Source organism: Homo sapiens, chromosome 3 (assembly GCF_000001405.40).
Source record: "Homo sapiens chromosome 3, GRCh38.p14 Primary Assembly".
NCBI classification, from domain to species: domain Eukaryota; kingdom Metazoa; phylum Chordata; class Mammalia; order Primates; family Hominidae; genus Homo; species Homo sapiens.
In genome coordinates, this window is record NC_000003.12 from 131,163,727 (window position 1) to 131,183,068 (window position 19,342).

General features: G+C 38.5%; 1 protein-coding gene across 58 annotated transcripts in view; it reads left to right on the forward strand.

Annotated features, from left to right (window-relative positions):
* Nucleotides 1-19,342, forward strand: part of NEK11 (NIMA related kinase 11) — a 323,589-nt gene that overhangs the window by 136,850 nt on the left and 167,397 nt on the right. For 43 of the 58 annotated variants that reach the window (XR_001740271.2, NM_001353038.2, NM_001353022.2 and 40 more), the window contains 3 exons: nucleotides 1,700-1,793; nucleotides 5,104-5,211; nucleotides 7,047-7,161. Coding sequence is in view for 57 of the 58 variants with exons in the window: in NM_001353038.2 (NP_001339967.1) it covers nucleotides 1,700-1,793; nucleotides 5,104-5,211; nucleotides 7,047-7,161 (317 nt within the window). In the remaining variant the exon portion in view is untranslated. Of the gene's footprint in view, nucleotides 1-1,699; nucleotides 1,794-5,103; nucleotides 5,212-7,046; nucleotides 7,162-11,040; nucleotides 11,413-13,399; nucleotides 14,295-19,342 lie in introns of those variants that run through there. The other 15 variants (XM_047448974.1, NM_001353027.2, NM_001353030.2 and 12 more) reach the window with 4 other exon arrangements.

Here is a 19,342-nt window from a genome sequence, read left to right on the forward strand (position 1 = left end):
TGATTTAATTATCCCACAATGTATACATATATAAAAACATCACACAGTATATATAAATCTAAACATTTTTTGTCAATTAAATTTTAATAAAGCTGAAAAAATACATGTATAAAAATGGAATTTCAAAGAGGCTTAGAGCCTCAATTTCTGAAAGACTGATTTATGTGTTGGTAGGTTATCAAATTTCCAAATTTTTCTTATTTTTTCTTCCTCTGCCAATATTTTGGTAGTTTAGGAGCCCCAATCAAGAACTAGAGAGACAGAAAGAACCTGAACACAAATCTACGCATTTTGTTCCCTTGTTAATTTATCCAAAAAATGATTTAGAGGTGTCCTTGTACTTAGAATGAATATCATGATAAGCCAAGTAAGAATCTATGAGTCTATTTTCCCGTAACATTTGCTTTCTTTAATAAATTGGTAGAGAAAGATTTCCATGAAAGTACATTGTGAGCAGTGGTGTGCTGGTAAATATTTAACAACCAGCTCTGGGTTTGAAGGGGACTGCTTATTTGTTTGCTGATTTCTGTGATATAAATACTTCCACTGTGGCCAATATCAAGCTAACAATATGATACCATTTAATATTCAGTTGGGAAGATATTTACACAATCTGCTCTTGAGCCAATACAAGTTGGATTCTGCAAACCACTATGACATTGAGTGTGAGTTTTACTGGGAAAATATATTCACATAAATTGCTTGAGCCATTGCATCAGCTCACAGCCCCAAATCTGTTCGTAATACCTCAGAAATGGTGATATTTCCAAGGTGCCATGATTCGTGTCATTGGCTGGGGGTAAAAGGAAAATTAAATCTCTGATAGGAACAGATTAAAAAGGCAAATTTAATAACATATACAGATTACAAAATACATTAAAACTGTTTTTTAATACAAAGAAGTCACATATCTTTCACATGATACACTAATATATTTTTCTTATTTGAAAGTAATGGTTTTAAATAAAGTTTGGTCTTGATTTTGTGAATAAGTTGTATTGGAATTGTTTCTAGTTGTTGATTATAGAATCAAGGGGGATCATGTGTTTTAGCTAGAAAATGACTCTATTGTCAGAAGAATTATAATGTACCCGTTTTAGAGACAAGGGAGTTTGACTAGAAGGGTGTTCAGTGATGAAAACCTGAGTATAAATTAGCCCACAAGTAATCATAAGAACTCAAATCTTTCTTCCAGTTTAGTAGCAGGTCGCTTAAACTCACTCTCCTGTAATAGAGAAAACAAAGTAAATGTGTCTAGAAAAATTCCCCTGCGCAATGACTCCCAGATATTTCCTCATAAATCCTTTGATATGTAGCTCTAGTTTTACTTTTTATGGGTTTGTTCATCCTGAAAGCAGTTTTTGTGTTATTAGTATGTGTTAGGCACTGTGCTAGGCATTGGGAACACATAGCCCTGTCATTGCACTTGGAGAACTCACAGAGAGGAGCACTGCCTTCTCCTGCTGCTGCATTTTGGGATTTGTAAGGGTGAATAAGGAACCAGAGTATCTTGTGTGTGCTTTAAAAGAGAATCAGCCGGGTGCTGCACCACATTCACCTTGATGAGGAAGAGACCTGATGGCCTGGCTTTCTAATCCCCCAGTCAGTCTGTTGAAATAAGGATCACACTCATCTGTATAATATAGACATGGTTTTAGCAATTCGCAGTTATTTTTCTACATTCACTTTAAATTTACAGAAAGATTGTGGAAGAAAAATATGAAGAAAATAGCAAACGAATGCAAGAATTGAGATCTCGGAACTTTCAGCAGCTGAGTGTTGATGTACTCCATGTAAGTACCCTCTTATTTTAAATTTTACATAAAAATTTTTCTTGCTTTAGATTCATGGCGATGATTGGGTAGGAAAAGGGACAAGGGAGAAAACAAGAACATCCAGATTAACTTCACCCAATTCCAGGAAGGATTCTAGAATGTAGGTCAACAGCTGGTGACAACGATTCAAAGCGGCTGTAGCGAGAGGTGGATCAATTGATCCATTTAACAAAAATCAAGCTCCTACTCTGTACAAGACAACTGAATTGGCACTGAATGCATAACTGATGGGTTAAAATGATTAGCTGACAGAACAAATGTGTGTATATCTAATTTTTAATTCCACCCATGCTATTGTTGCTTTACCTCTTTAGTACATTGTTCTCTTTGTCTGGTTTTTATTCTTTTCCTTTTTATTTTGTTTCCTACCCATTTTGTTGTACATTGTGTTAATAATTTCATTCAAATTTTAACTGTCATAGATGTTCAATAATGAATAGAGTTGCAGATTCACATGAAATGACCCCAAATTCATGTCCTCGGCATTCCAAATCTGTAAATAGCAAACACCATTTTCTCTAATGGTTGACAATATCTCCACAGGCCTTGGGTAGGCTCTGATTAATAAGGTGGTCTTTACAACGTCAAATTTGGGCAATAGACATCAATACCAACCTCATAGCACTTCAGGTAAAAGCAACTTGGGATGAAGCCATTTTTATAGAGAACTTCTACTGTCTCAAATTCTGATTTTTATTCACGGAGATCCCTGCATGTGAGAGATTCTCTCCTTTAGCAGGAAGCACCAAGCTCCCTGAGGCTGTGGGGACAATCCCCCAAGCCCCAGGGATGCTAATTCTGTTGTAGCTTAGTTATCAGATGGCTCCAAGCCCTGGGGCATGCAGGAGACCTCACCCTCAGCCAGACAGGGCCCCTCTTTAAGGGGGAGATCTGCCAGTAATGCATCTTTCTCAATTATTTAGGGGTTCTGTGTGCTTTGGAGTTCTAAAAATCCCAAGTGGGGACCAATAAGAGGCCTAGCTTCCTCTAATTTCAGGAGTCTTCCTCTGTTTGATGGACCAGTTAGCAGACAATGTGGGGATGATGGTAATATGTGCTCAATTCCATCCCCCTTTTCCCACCCCTCTGACACACCATTTAAGTGAAGGCCCCCTGTGGGATCTGTTGCAGGCTACAGAGAATTGGGAGATGGGTTCTTTCCTGCTCAGGGAACTTGGCGAGTGAAGAACCTGCTGACTGAAAGGCCATGGGGTCAACAATAGGGCTGGATCCCTAGTTGGAGAAAGGTCTTGATGCCACCACTATGGAAGGACTCAAGCCCCCTCTGAAAACTGGGTGCATTTCTTCAGCTTCCCACACACTTCTAGGCCCTGCAAATGATAGCCTGTTAAGGTGGCTCTTCTTCTCTGGTGCAGTCTGCTTTGTCCCCCTGCAGTGCTGAGAACTGCACATTCCCACAAATCCTGACAAGGAGGCTGACAGAATTATAAGAATTCCGAGTTTGTTAATGTGTAAAGTACTTGTTTATTCAGCTATAGAAATGGGGACATACTTTTCTAGAATGCTCAGAGATGTTGTATTTCTTATAAGTCCTCTGCTAATTCATATGCTGCTGGTCTGATTCCTATGTACACTCTGATTAATAATGAATAGAAAATGGGCCTCCTGAAAGCAGTACTTCACCTCAGATGAGGGAAGACTTGGAAAACCACTGCTCAGCAGACCTTGTCATAATCTCTTCAGGGTCTTGTCTTCCTCTTATAAATCAGGGATCACTGATTCTAAGGGATTTTCCCCCTAAGATTGAAAATTGAGAAGTACAGGCATGGTATTATTTTGTTCTTTAAAATCTAAATGACTTCATTCTTGAAGTTACCATATGGCAAAAAAGAAATGTAGTTTCAAGTATGAGCTTAAATATTAGTGTCTGATAATTTACTTACCTTTTTTGCTTTTCTTCTTTGACCCTTCAAGATCACCATGTTTGTGTTCTTTTTTATTGGATGGAATTATTATTGGTGTTATAACTATACTCTATGAGGTCTTGTCTTCCTCTTATAAATCAAGGTCCTTTGGGGGCCCTGAAGTAACTGAAGATAAGCCTGAGACCATATGGCAGGCAGCATCCCAAAAAATGTTCTTATGCATATATTACTCCACAGAACATGGGAGCTAGACACAAAGTTCTGATCTTGGCCCAACTCAGATGAAGAAAGAGAGGATTTCACAAGGATCCTATGAACTCCCAACTCATCACTTCCCCAGTGACTTCCCATTTTCATCCCCTTCCCATCAGCAAGGAGCAAAGGGAGCAGGAGGGGAAGCGACCGATGCTGATGCTGTTCTGGACAAAGACTGTGGTTTATTCTTTGATCTTCTGAGATTAGTGCCACCACTGTCTTTGGCCCTGAGCTTTCCAGAAGCATGTTTCCTATGTTTATATATTGATGGGGGCAGAAATGCTCCAGGCAGATAGATGGCTGTTGAGTCTGTTCTGTTTGAACACTGTGTCCTCTTGCCAGCTGGTTCAGGCCCACAGACTGGATGGCTCAGCATCGCCAGGCATCCTGCCCTCTTTTGTGCAGTCACATCAGTCATTTCCCTCTGGCACATTGTCAGCATCCCATCTCTCTTTCAATTGTTTTCAGGAAAACCTTGTCAGCCCACTTGGGTCCACAATCAATGGACCCTCCTCCAAATTCTTATGGCTTATAGTATTCTCAAACTTGAAATGCACCTTGATTGCCTATGAATCTTGTTAAGATGCAGATTCTGATTCAATTAGTCCAGGGTGCAGCCTGAGATGTTGCATTTCTTTTTTTTTTTTTATTTTTATTTATTTATTTTTTTTTGAGACGGAGTCTCGCTCTGTCGCCCAGGCTGGAGTGCAGTGGCGGGATCTCGGCTCACTGCAAGCTCCGCCTCCCGGGTTCACGCCATTCTCCTGCCTCAGCCTCCCAAGTAGCTGGGACTACAGGCGCCCGCCACTACGCCCGGCTAATTTTTTGTATTTTTAGTAGAGACGGGGTTTCACCGTTTTAGCCAGGATGGTCTCGATCTCCTGACCTCGTGATCCGCCCGCCTCGGCCTCCCAAAGTGCTGGGATTACAGGCGTGAGCCACCGCGCCCGGCCGACGTTGCATTTCTTATAATCCCTCTGCTAATTCCTATGCTGCTGGTCTGTTTCCTATGTATACCTTGATTAATAATGAATAGAAAATGGGCCTCCTGAAAGCAGCACTTCACCTCTAGATGAAGAAAGACTTGGAAAACCACTGCTGAACAGACTTTGTCATAATCTCTTTAGGAAAAAACACATTTAAAAGGAATGGAAGAAAAGGAGGAGCAACCTGAGGGAAGACTTTCTTGTTCACCCCAGGACGAGGATGAAGAGAGGTGGCAAGGCAGGGAAGAGGCAAGTTTAATCATATTCACAAGCACAAAAGTGAGGCAGGTTTAATGATATCCAGAGAACAAAGGGGAAAGAAAATGGGAAGCCGAACACTTTGCAGAGGAGCCTGAAGGGTTTTAAATGTAGCAGGAAAAAGCTTCATTGAGCTGAAAAAGATGAAATAAATATAGGAAAGAAATTAGATTAATCAGATGCAAGAGGCTAAAGAAAAATGTGATAAGGAGAAGAGGAAGAGGAAACTGCTCCCATCTTTGAGTGCTTTCCTCCCCCTTGCCCATATACATGTTTATGATTTAATTTCTTGCTAATCTCATTGGGGCTCTGTTCTCTATTCCTTTTTGCATCTCTCTTGCCTGGTGGAAGCAAGCTACTTTATATTTCAAAAGCACTTACAGGAGAGAATCAGAGTTATGGGAGAGAATGGGCTCTATGTCGCCTCTCAAACATGTTATAAAAATTATTTGAGGCATGTAGAGAGAGTGGCTTGCTTTGTTTTTCAGACCCTAGCTGACAAGGCCTTTTATTTTAGCAGGCATTTTCTGCTTGGCTGAATTTGGGCTTTGAAATCTTGAAGCACCATCGAATGTGGAATCATGTTAGGCACTGTTTCTCTAAAGAATCACAGCTTAAAACAGTTGGATACCATAATACATAAGACAGGCCAGGTCTGTCTTTGATCCTGTGGCATATACAGTTTTGCTGGGGCTAAAGTTAGGTCTCTGTGAAAAGTACATAGCAGATCAGGTCTCCATACGTGGAGAGGTAATGGGGATCAAAGATCAGACCATGTCCTTCTCTTTCTAAGAGAAGCAATTATAACAATTCTATCTTTCTCTTCAAAGAGAAACTCAGCAAATCAAAGTTAATTGAGAGTCCAAATACATACTTATTTTCAAATAATTTCTGAAGTGCACGTAAAGACGTATTTCATGTACTCTCTGTTCTTTATCTGTAAAGTTCTCTGTGTGCTCTCAGTGATCCTTTGAAATCTGGAACCAATTTCGCCTCCTGAAACAATTATTATGCGGTACAGAAAACTGACTTCTTAAAAACACTTTATGATGATATTCTCACAAATACCGCACTGCAGTGTGGCATGGCTTCATTTTACTTATTAAGATTAGTTTGAACTTTCTTTTAAATTTTCTTTTATTAAAAAGACACTCTTGGAGTAGTTTCCCATGAAAACCATTTATCAAGAAAAATAGATCAACTCAGCACCAGCTCCAGGTTCAAACACAAATACACACACACACACAAAACTAAGGGAAAAAGGCAAAATGATTTCTTGAAATACCTATTGATTTTGGCTAAACCTTTTATTTTTTTGAAGTGTGAATTCTTTCATCATGTGGTCTCTTAGATCTTTTTCTTTTAGGAAATTGGAATTCATAGAATCACAGAGCTTTAAAGCTAGAGGGGAACTTGTAAGTCATTCAGGCTAACACCTTTAATTTTGAGATGCAGAAACTGAGCAGGGCTGGAGTAGGGTGTGGTAAGTGGAACACCATAGGTGCCAAATTGAAGAAGGCCCCCCTCAGCTGTCAATGGAGTGAGTACCTTCAATTGGTACCTTGGGCATCCCACTTGGCTTATCTAGTCATGATCCTGAAACTGAGCCCATGAAGGTTAAATGCTTTGTGCAAGGTCACCTGTCTCATTGATTCAGGGCTGTTTCTCTTATCCCACCTTACCTCCTGAAGTTTGAAAACGTTTAAGGGAGAGGATTAGGTAGGCTTGTTTCCAAGTAGTCTTCTAAATAAGAATATTTTTTTCATTTGTGGTAGTGCTGTTTCCTTCTATCAGCATCTCATGAATTGTTAATTACCTTCCACAAGGAATCTGATGAACCAACTTTAGAGAACCTGCCTGAGTCTCAGCCTATTCCTTCCATGGACCTCCACGAACTTGAATCAATTGTAGAGGATGCCACATCTGACCTTGGATACCATGGTATGTGTTTGCATTGATTTTCAGAAGGATGCTCACAGCTGCTGCACAGGTTGCTGTGGCCGACTTTGCAGTGGGTCTGTCTGGCCTCTGGGAGAAGCTCTGAGTGTGTGCAGCTATTATCAGTTTACCAGGGCTGGGCTATGACCAGGATGAAAAGTAGAGAAGCCAAGGATTTTTCTGTCCTCTCTATCTTCTTTGCAATAGTGAGGATGAGTTGGAAACTCACACCTGGTGAGAGACCTCTTCTGGGTGGGTTAAACACTGTTGTCGTTAAGCTGACTTTGGAATTGTGCAAACTCCGAATACTCTGGAGCACTGTGTCTTCCCTGTTCTGTAAATGGTTCTTCCAGTTGTCATAAATTTAAATTGAAGAAATGAAGCCAGGCTTTGGAAAATCAGCTATGCAGATGTGCATTACCAGAAAATAAAAGTGCTCAGAGCAGGAATACAAAGGGAGGCCTGTAGGATGGCTGACTTTGCTAGAGGACTTCCTGATGCCTTTGCTACCTCAGACCACACAGCAAACGAGTACACTTCCAGTAAACCTCTATTTTCACTTGGAATAAGACTTTAATTAGTGGTCCAAATGGAGCAGATACATGCAAATGGAGTAGGTACATCATAAGCTAATGGTTAAATGCATGAGTTTTGGAGTAAAAAAGTTGGCCCTATCAGAGAAGGCCCTGACAACATAATCTCTCTAGGTCTCAGTTTTCTTATCTATGAAATAAGAATAATAATGCCTTCTTTCAGGGTTGTTGTGAATAGCAAATGAGACGTGGCATGTGGAGTGGTCTTAGTTCAGTGCCCAGCACACAGTAAGTGCTAAAGAAGGGGAAGCAGTTATGACACTTTGAGCAGAGGAGGGTTATCAATATAGGTGTCTTCTCAGTCTTGTTCACCAGTCTCCCCAGTGCCTAGAGCAAATTTCCAGGAACATGCTAAGCACTCAATAAATATTTCTTGAGTGAATTAATGAGTGGATGAATACATGAGTGAATGTTAGTCTGATCCTCTGAGAAGCAGATGCTAAGACTAGACTACAATTGCAACGTTACTTTTAGAGAAAATGCTTATATAAAAGAAAATAGGAAAGAGCTAGAAAAAACCAGGGGAACCATTAGACCACTGATTAAAGTCTTATTCCAAGTGAAAAGAGAGGTTTGGTGAAGGTGAACTAGATTCCTCTGCAGTTAGAGGTAGCAAAGGCATCAGGAAGTCCTCTAGCAAAGTCAGCCATCCTACAGGCCTGCCTTTGTATTCCTTCTGTGCTCCAGTAGTAGCCCATCGGGAGGCATCATAGCCTCTGAGAGAATGCAGAGATGGATTTCAGAGCATAGCAGCTGGGATCCTGGGCCAGTTGCACTCTGTGTTGTTGGAGGTCTGCAAGTGCATCCTTATGGCTGCACAATGATGTAACAGCTCTTTTTGGCAGCAGTTTAGCTGTCTTCTCAAATTGAGAATTAAGGTAGTGAACCTTGGATTATCTTGTCTTCTCACCAGATTTGCACTTGAAGTCTTCTTACTAGAGCTGTTAAAGCCTGTGCTGCCTCCTTCAGCTGTATGGAGACAAGCACCTGAAGCTCTTTAGATTGGCATTAGCCAGCTTTTAAAATGGTGCTATGGAAGCCATCTTGTAACAGACATTCTTGACAAACAAATATATATTTCAGATGGATTTCTGTCTTAGGCCTTTTATGGTATTTGATATATTATTTGTTAATTTCCAAAAGTGAAATTTGGAAGTATAGAAATATCCCATGGACTTCTCTTTCTAAAAATAGAAATGTCAGAGACATTAGAACCAGAGCGACTCCATCTTGAATAAGAGCTGAGTAAAATAAGGCTGAGAACTACTGGGCTGCATTCCCAGGAGGTTAAGGCATTCTTTGTCACAGGGTGAGACAGGAGACCAGCACAAGATACAGGTCACAAAGACCTTGCTGATAAAACAGGTTGTAGTAAAGAAGCCAGCCAAAGTCCACCAAACCCAAGATGGCAAAGAAAGTGACCTCTGGTCATCCTCATTGCTCATTATATGTAAATTATAATGCATTAGCATGCTAAAAGACACTCCCACCAGCACCGTGACAGTTTACACATGCCATGATGACATGGGAAGTTACCTTATATGGTCTAAAAGTAGGATGAATCCTCAGTTCTGGGAGTTTCCCACCCCTTTCCTGGAAAACTCATGAATAATCCACCTGTTGTTTAGCATATAATCAAAAAACAACTATAAGTCTATTCAGTCGAGCAGCTCATGCCACTGCTCTGCTCATGGAGTAATCACTCTTTTGTTTCTTTACTTTCTTAATAAACTTGCCTCCACTTTTCTCTATGAACTTGCCCTGAATTATTTCTTGTGCGAGGTCCAAGAACCCTCTCTTGGGGTCTGGATCGGACCCTTTTCCAGTGACAGAAAGCTGAGAAAGTTAGGCAATATGTAGCTCCCAATACCTGTGGCTTGTGCTCTGCTGGAGGACAGAGCCATCACTATTTATGCATAGGAAGCCCCAGGACAGGATATTGAATGGGTGGTCTAGGACCAAAAAGTCTGAGCTTCTTCCTGGTTTCAAATAGGAAAAGTACTTAATACTGCATTTCATAGATGAGAAGCCAAAGACATTAAGTGGTTTGCTTAAGGACCACAGAGTTCCTGCTTTCTATCTAGTATACCACCCTTTCCATTTCCCCCAAAGTGTGTGTTTTCGGTGGTGGTAGGTAGAAGCAATTGACTTGTAAGAAACAGAAAAACATGTCAAAGGAACTGGACTTTCAAAAGGCAGAGTCTTTGTCATGTGTCTCTTTGCTAATTTTTGTGAACTGTTATAGCCAAATTACTCCCAAGCTAGCCTTGACCACAGGTTCCAGCTACTATGGAAAACCCAAGCTATGTCCTTCTTACCTCTCATTTTGTCTTTTGTCATGGAGGTTTCAGTATGGTAGACAGTGTGTTGATTTACCAGCCAGACTGGAAATCGTCAAATCTACTTCTTTGACCACTTTGTTCATGTTGTAATGTAAACACTATTTAGGCCTCTATGATAAACTATCAGATTAGAAAAAATACATAATAGTTTTAGGTGGATCAGATGCCTTGTAAAATACTTTAAACATTTCCGTTATTTTTTCCTGTCTGTAAATTCATACCTTCTAAATGCTATTCTTTCTTAATATTAAATTCAAAAAATAAACTTAGAACTATGAAAATACAGCCTTGATAGGCATTTAGGTCAATTCTATGTCTTTGCTATTGTGAATAGTGCTATAATGAACCTAAAATAAAAGTAAAAAAAGAAGAAAAAAAGAAAATGCAACCTTTGGGTTTGACAAATCATTAGAATGGTGGGCAACTACCAGAAAATTAGTGATCACAGAGATTAATTGAAGTGAAATTTTGAAACATGAGACTTAATTTGTTGATGAACTCTGAAGTGGTTAATTATTTTTTGCCTTTTAGAAGATTAGACTGCAAACTTTCAGCACCCAAAGGAAATTTGTATTTATTTTTTATTTGGCATGTATATGTAAAATAAAATTATACAGTCATTCTTTCAAAGCTCCTACACCAAACATTTAATTAGTCTTTGAGGTTGAATTGGACAATTCCCTCTGGCATATGAGGAGTTAGTTGCAGAGAAGAAAGACAGGATAAGACTTATTATTTACATTTGATATGCATTAGTTGACTATAGCTGATTTAATCTAGTGAAAGTCATGGGTAACCATTATAACCAAATGAGAAAGTACAACTGGAATGTTAAAGAAATTATCCCCATTTAACTTCTTATATGTAATGCTAATGATATCTTGCACATTAATTTTTGCCAGGAACTTCTTTGTACTCTAGCATTTGTTTTATATTTTATTTTTTAGCAACTCACAGCTGACTTTCAGAGCAGTGTTTTTTCCAAAGCTGGAATAGCCTGAGACTCTAGGGCCTGGGTCTACAAGGAGCATGACTCCCTACCCCACCATTCAGATGTGGAGAATGCAGTGAAGTAGGCCTTGGCTGCTTACCCACATCCTGACCAGCTGTCACCTCTTCATTTCCTGTTCAGCCACTCTTTAAGCAATCACTGAGCCCAATGCTCAGAGATAGCTCAGACCTGTAGGTGGTTGTGCTTTGCTTGCCTGTAGGAGCCCCACATGCCCTTTACAGTTCTGGGCTGTCTATGACTTACGATATCACCTCTTCTTTTTAAATGTCCAAGTGGAAATAAAGTGATTTGAACTTTGCTAATTAAATATGTTATGTTTTTATTGTTTTAATTTTAAAAAGAAAACCTCTACTCACTCACTAATTCCACTTTTAGATAGTTATCTGAAAGAAAACCTTTACTCACTCAGTAATTCCACTTTTAGATAGTTATCTGAAAATGCATCTACAAGAAGACCTGTTCACAAATGTTTCTAGAAGTTTTATTCATAAGTACTCAAAATAAAAAACAAGTCAAGTGTCCATCAATAGGTGAAAGGATAAGCAAATTTGTAGTTTGTTGATGGAATATATACTCTTTGACACTGAAAAGGAACACACACCAATATATACAACAATATAGATAAATACTTTTAAAATTATGTGAAGTGAAAGAAGCCACACGTAAAAGAGTTCATACTGAATGATTCCATTTCTATGAGTTCTGGAACCAGAAGTACTTATCTATAGTAATAGAAATTAGGCCAGTGGTTGCCTGGGGGTGGTAGTGGTGGGAGTTGACTCTAAAAGGGCACATGGAAACCTTTTTTTGTGATAGAAAAGTTTGTAAGTTTGCTATCTTGATTGTGGTGATGGCTACCCAGATGTGTAAATTTGTCAAAACTCATTGGACTCAATACTTTAAATTAGTGCATTTTATTGTATATAAATTATACCTAAATAAAATTGATAAATTAAAAAAATATTAAAATATTCAGAAGAAACAATGTAATGCTTAGCTGTCTATGTGTTAGCTAATGAATGGCCAAGAACGATGTGAGTGAAGTCATGGAGATAGAAAACAATTGGGAAGATCTTTGGGTATCACCTGGGACACAAACTCCTTAATCCAGAAGGTGATCACAGGGTTTGAGACTTTCTTCTAGCATCAGCTGAACAACGTTGTCTTCCACAAGGAGTGTTAACAAAGCTTTGGGGTCCTTTCCAAGGAGGAAAGTTGGCTATTTGGAGATAAGGGACAGGGATCTTTTAGCTCCTCTCTCTTCAGTCTTTATAGTTGGGGGTGGAGGTGCACACATCTGAGTAGCAGAGAGCCCTACCAGCAGATCTAAAAGGACCTAGTGCTCACTAAGGCCACTGGAGCATAATACAACAAAAGGTGATAGCTCAGACTCCAATGCCCAGCCCAAGATGGAGAAGCTGGTGGAGCTGCCTGGCTCTTTAGTTCTCAGAAAAGAAGACCAAACAAATGCCAGGGGTTACTTCCACATTCCTAGATCTTCCGTCACTTCTGGAGCTTTAGATGTCTTCAAGACTTGATTTATAAAGATAAATTGATGGTGGTTTTATTTCATAATTGTCACTTATTCCACTGAGTTACATTTGCATTTCATAATAGTGTTTCCACCTGACTCTAATACTTGCTCTCAGGAATAAAGATGCCTGCAGTTCTCACTAATTTCTGAGTTCTAGAGGATAATTAGAATGAATCTAATACTGAATGAAGATGTGCTGATTCTCCACCCTGAGGCATATTTAATAATTTAGAGTGTTCCTTCTGTACGACAAGTCACTAACTAAAATTTCAAAGATTATATCCAATTTGAAAAATTAAGCTGGGTGCTGTCTAACACCTGCCCAACAAGCCACTTTGACATGGCATCCTAAGCAAACGTAATATAAATAGGGGGAAAATTAGTCCCAGAACGTCAGGTATTCATGGGGAAAACCAGCACCCACGGACATCTCAAAATAAGTAAACCGCCTGGGAAGGCTATATGTCATCCCATGGATCATCACTTAGCTAAATATAAATCATATAGTAGTTATTATACTAAAGGTCATGCTAATAAGGCAGAGGGCATCCTTAAGTGGCCTTGCTTGGGTCATCATGGCTCAGATTTGGAACAAATCAATTAAGCAGAAAATTAAATAAGTATCAATCATAGCTTTAAGGTTGGATAGAAACAAATGTAATAGAGTAAAACCTTATAGAATGTGTGTTTCAGACAGTGCTCTGCATATACCACGGTATGGTTTTCCTTTAGTTGATGAATTTATTTTCCATGCATGCAGGTTTCACAGTTGTGCTCCATACTTATGTGCTTACCACTTGGAGAACATTGTTATGATGGCCAAAGAAAGCTAAGCTGCCATATGAAAGGGAATCTTTCAGATCTGCCTTTGAGTCCTGACTTTCCCATGTGATTGCACTGTGATTTTAAGGAACATAATTTCTGTCATCTGCAGTTTTCAAATTTGTTTTTCATCAATAAAATGCAGTTAGTAATACCAATCTGAAAAATTTACTGTATTAAGTGAGACAACATGTATTTGATATAACACATATGTTAACATACAGTAACATACATGTCTGTTACTGTATTTCGCTCAATCAGTGACAGGAGCTATTACTACCAAAACAGATATAGAATGGTTAGATGGTGCTTATCACCTCTTGTCTACTTGTTAGAATCGGACTTATCTTTTAAGACCCAGCTCAAAGACGTCCTCCTTGATTCGACGTGAGAAGATGTCTCCTACCAGGACTCTTTGACTAATCTCCCTGATCATTTTTCTCCTTTCTTAGAACATATCCTATGCTGCCTTACAGTACTGAGGTTGTGAACCTGACTGTTGCCCTAGCGTAGGTTGAAAAACTGGGATGTCTTTGTTAACAAGTCTTTGGAAAGCACTTTAAAAAGAATAGTAAGTAGTTATATTATAAAAATTACAGACACAGGATGAACAACAACATACAAAAAACCTATTCAAATATCACTCACGTGAATACAGTCATGTACTGCTTAATGACAGGAATATGTTCTGAGAAATGTGTCATTAGGCAATTTCATCCTTAAGCAAACATCAGAGAGTATACTTGCACATACCTAGATGTTATAGCCTAATGCGCATCTAGGCTCCATGGTATAGCCTGTTGCTCCTGCACTACAAACCTGTACAGCATATTACTGTCCTGCATATTGTAGGCAATTGTAACACAGTGGTAAGTATTTGTATATCTAAACACAGAAAATAGACAGTAAAAACACAATATAAAAGATGGTACACCTGTATAGGGCACTTATGAATGGAGCTTGCAGGACTGGAAGTTGCCATGGGTGAGTCAGTGAGTGAGTGGTGAGTGAATGTGAAGGTCTAGGATATTCACTACTGTTTACTACTGTAGACTTTATATATAAGCACTGTATATATAACACTTAGGCTATACTAAATTTATTTTGAAAATATTTTTCTTCAACAGTAAATTAACCTCAGCTTACTGTAACTTTTTTACTTTATACAATTTAATTTTAAAACTTTTTGATTATTTTATAACACTTGGCTTAAAACACAAACACATTGTACAGCTGTACAAGAATATTTTCTTTTTTATATCATTCTATAAGCATTTTCTATTTTTAACATTAATTCTTTTAACTTTTGAATTCTTTGTTAAAAACGAAGTCACGAACACACATATTAGCCTAGGCCTTCTGCCTTTCACCTCCATATCTCGTCCCACTGGGAGATCTCCATGGACAATAACATGCAGGGACCTGTCACCTCCTATGATAACAATGCCTTCCTCTGGAATATCTCCTGAAGGTTTTACAGTTAACATTTTTTAAATAAGTAGAAGGAGTATACTATAAAATAATGATAATAGTATAGTATAGTAAATATGTAAAGTAGTAACATAATTATGATTATATTGTACATGCTTGTATGCCCTATACTTTTATATGACTGACAGTGCAGTATGTGTGTTTACACTGCGTCACTAGGTAATAGGAATTTTTTAGTTTAATTATTATCTTATGGGACCACAACTGTATATGTGGTTCGTTGTTGACTGATACGTCATTATGCAGTGCATGACTGTACTTGTACTTTAAGATTGTTATGGCTTGAATGTCTGCTCTCAAAAACTCAGTTGTTGGCAGTGTGATAGTATTAAGAGGTGGGGTCATTAAGAGGCAATTCACTCATGAGGACTCCCTCCTTATGAATGGGATTAAGTGCCCTTATCAAAGGGCTTGATGGAGTGAGTTCATCCCTCTTGTTCTTCTACCTTCCACCATGTGAGGACACAGTGTTCCTTCACTGCAGAGGATCAAGCAATAATACGCCATGTTGGCAGCAGGGAGCAGCCCTTACCACACAACCGAACCTGCTGTTGCCTTGATCTTGGACTTCCCAGCCTCCAGGACTGTGAGAAATAAATTTATGTTCTTTATAAATTACCCAGTCCGTGGTATTTTGTGACAATAGCACAGATAGGCTAAGAAAAGGACAGAACTTGTACTGACAGTTTCCTATGCAGATTTCAAGGAGAGCTTTATCTGAAAAATATGAGCTGGAAGTAAGGAGTTGCACAACTCATAGTCATGACAAGGACACTTAGTCTGTATGCATGTGAGGAGTTTAAATAATTGTATTTCATGAAATTTCAGAGTGGGAAAAAAGCAGTAGCTCTAAATATTTTATATAATATGGGAACATAAGTTTAAATTTGTTACTAAATTAACAATGTATTATAAATAGAAATTTATCTGTTTGACTTATACTCCTAATAGTTCAACATTCAAGTTTGATATTCTTATTGGAAAATGAGTCAAGTCTTAAAATTTTCTAGGTTTCCTTACAATTAGACATATACCATATTTCATCCAGTCTAAAATACACAGTTTTGCACATTTGAACACCTCTGAAATGGAGATGCATCTTAAAATAGACGGCATATCATAATTTCATGGACAGTAGTTTTATTAATGATATATAATATAATGATTCATTTCAAAATTGATGGTGTCTTTGATTCTGTAAAGTACAATATTATATTTCTCAATTGTATTGGTCAGGCTAGGCTACACTTGCTGCTGTAACAAATACACCTATTGACCTAGGTAACAAGGGATTTATAGCTCATTCCTATAAAGTCCTATGTGGGAAAGAATCTCTCAGGGCAGATATTCCCTGTGCAGTGACTAAGGACCAAGGCTTCTTCTATTTTATACCACCACCATCTCAGCATTTGGCTTTCAATGTTCCCACAAGCAGCAGAAGTAGATTGGAAGTAGCACACCCACACATAAATTCTTCAGCTTGAAAATTACTTCCTTGCAATTTCATTGACTAAAACTAGTCATGTGGCCCAACTTTCCACAAAGGGCCTGGGAAGTACAGTCTTTCCTGTGCCCAAGGAGGAGAGAATCAGATATGGGTGAACACTACTGATCTTACCACAACAGTCTATCTTAGTTACCTGACTCTGAAATTAGGGTAATGAACAAAACCCAAATATATAATTGAATCATGTGAAATTTATGTTCCAATTAGATAGAGAAACAAATACCTTTATTCTTTTACAAAATAATATATTGACTTGTACCAAAATGAACTATTATAAAATAGGCTTATTTCTTCATATTCTATCATAAAACTGATGACAAAAACAATATTTTATTTAGTTTTAAATTTCCTGATTAAACCTAAAAAGCAAAATATAATTAAAAAAGGAATGAGCTATAAATCCCTTGTTACCTAGGTCAGCAGGCGTATTTGTTACAGCAGCAAGTGTAGCCTAGCCTGACCAATACAATTGAGAAATATCATATTGTACTTTACAGAATCAAAGACACCATCAATTTTGAGATGAATCATTATATTATATATCATTAATAAAACTACTGTCCATGAAATTATGATATGCCGTCTATTTTAAGATGCATCTCCATTTCAGAGGTGTTCAAATGTGCAATATATGTGAGGCATTTATTAAGTTGGTTCTTGAATCTCTTAATTCAGTCTATAATATGTAAAATTCTATATTGGGGCCATATGAAGCCTTGCTAAAACTGCTGGAGGACAGGGTTATATTTGTAAGGGCAATATTTACAGTCTTTCTTAGCTCCTCATTTCTGCCAGCTAACGAAAGTTACTATTGTAGGAAGAAGAATGGGCTCCAAAGATGTCCTTAAAATCCTGATGTCCTAAGGCTGTCCTAATCCTTGGAACCTGTGAATATGTTAAGTTACATGACAGAGGGGAATGAATTAAGGTTACAGATGGAACTAAGGTTGCTAATCAGATAGGGAGATTATTCTGATTATTTGGATGCTCTCAGTGCCACAAGGGTTCTTAGAAGTAGAAGAGGGAGGCAGACAGGGGAGAACCAGAGAGATGGCAGTGAGACAAGGAATTGGCCCAACATTGCTAGCTTTGAAGATGGAGGAAGGAGACAATGAGCCAAGGAAAGCAGGTGACCTTTAGAAGCTAGAAAAGGGAAGGAAATGTATTCTTCCTCCTTGGATCCCCCAGAAAGGAAGGCACCCTGCCAACAAGTGTATCTTAGCTTGGTGAGATCCATGTCAGACTTCTGATCTACAGAACTAAAAGATAACTTTGTGTTGGCTGGGCGCAATGGCTCACGCCTGTAATCCCAGCACTTTGGGAGGCCAAGGCGGGCAGATCACAAGGTCAGGAGATGGAGACCATCCTGGCTAACACGATGAAACCCCATCTCTACTAAAAATACAAAAAATTAGCAGGGTGTGGTGGCGGGCGCCTGTAGTCCCAGCTACTTGGGAGGCTGAGGCAGGAGAATGGCGTGAACTCAGGAGGCAGAACTTGCAGTGAGCTGAGATCGCACCACTGCACTTCAGCCTGGGCGACAGAGCGAGACTCCGCCTCAAAAAAAAAAAAAAAAAAAAAGAAAAGATAACTTTGTGTTATGTTAAATCACAAAATTTGTGGTCATTTGTCACAGTAGACATAGAAAACTAATACAGCTATATTGGATTATGTCTGCTTCCAGTCAAATAACCACCATCTTTGATTCATATGCTAGTTTTTTTTGTTGAAGTGATTGAAATAGCTTGCTTTGGTGTTTAGGCCAGACTTTAATTTAGAAATTTATGATAGGCATTTTAATTAATATTCTTTGATTTTTATAAAGGAACTTCCTATTTTGTTTTGTGACATTAAGGGCCACCTCAGTACCAGATACTAATTGTTGTAAGTGAGAGATCCCCTAGAATCACCTGTCAAACTCTTTCATTTTTTGAAGTGAAATAGCACATCTCCAGAAAAAAAAAAAAAGAAAAGAAAAAAGAACTTTCTGGCAAGTAACTATGGCAGCAAAACCTAATATCTTTTTCACTCATCAGTAACAACATTTTCAACTGACTTCTCTTTTTCTCTTGCTTCTAAAAAACTCAAAAAAGGAAAAATAGGAAACCACTAAAAAGATCCAAAATGATCGTTGCATTTCATAATAGTGTGTATAAGTGTGAGCAGTATAATGAATTTGACTTATTCTCTCCTTTATCGTCAATTTTCCACTTCTGTCTTCAGGGAAGTATGTGAAGTCGCCAGCATTTATAACTCACCAGGTAGACTTGTCTCTGATCTTGCAGGATGGGTTTCTTGCAAACCCATCTCATTGTTCTGTGCACTGGCATCCACATGTGGGGATATATTTATATGAATGTGTAGTATAAACATACCTACCTACCTTCACAGCTAACCTTGATGATCCTTTCCTGCTAACCCCTTCATTTGTCTGAATTTTTTTTCTGGCCAAGGCTCGTTTAAATTATTAATGGGAGTTCTTCTTACTATTGAAGATTAGCTGGCAAAGTAAATATTTGTAGGTGAGTTTAAGATGCCTGCAGTCTTTCATTGCATGCATTGGCGCCTGGGCATTTTGGGTTGTAGAAATCAAAGAGACTTTACCCTTTTTTATATCTCAGATTGATTTTCTCTTTTGACTCTAGAAGAAATGAAAAAACTCAACCCTTCTTCCAGCTCAATTCCACATGACCTGTTTTCTTGGCTTCAAATAGCATAAAGCTAAATTAACCTGCTTCTTTCCTTCCACCCTCTACCTCCCACAAATCCATTTTAAGATATAATAATTTGACAATTTGCATAAGCAGTTGCTTATGAGCATATGGTGTCTAGTCAAATAAATTTAGCCTCCTTTTATTTGTGAGATTATACATTTTGAACAGG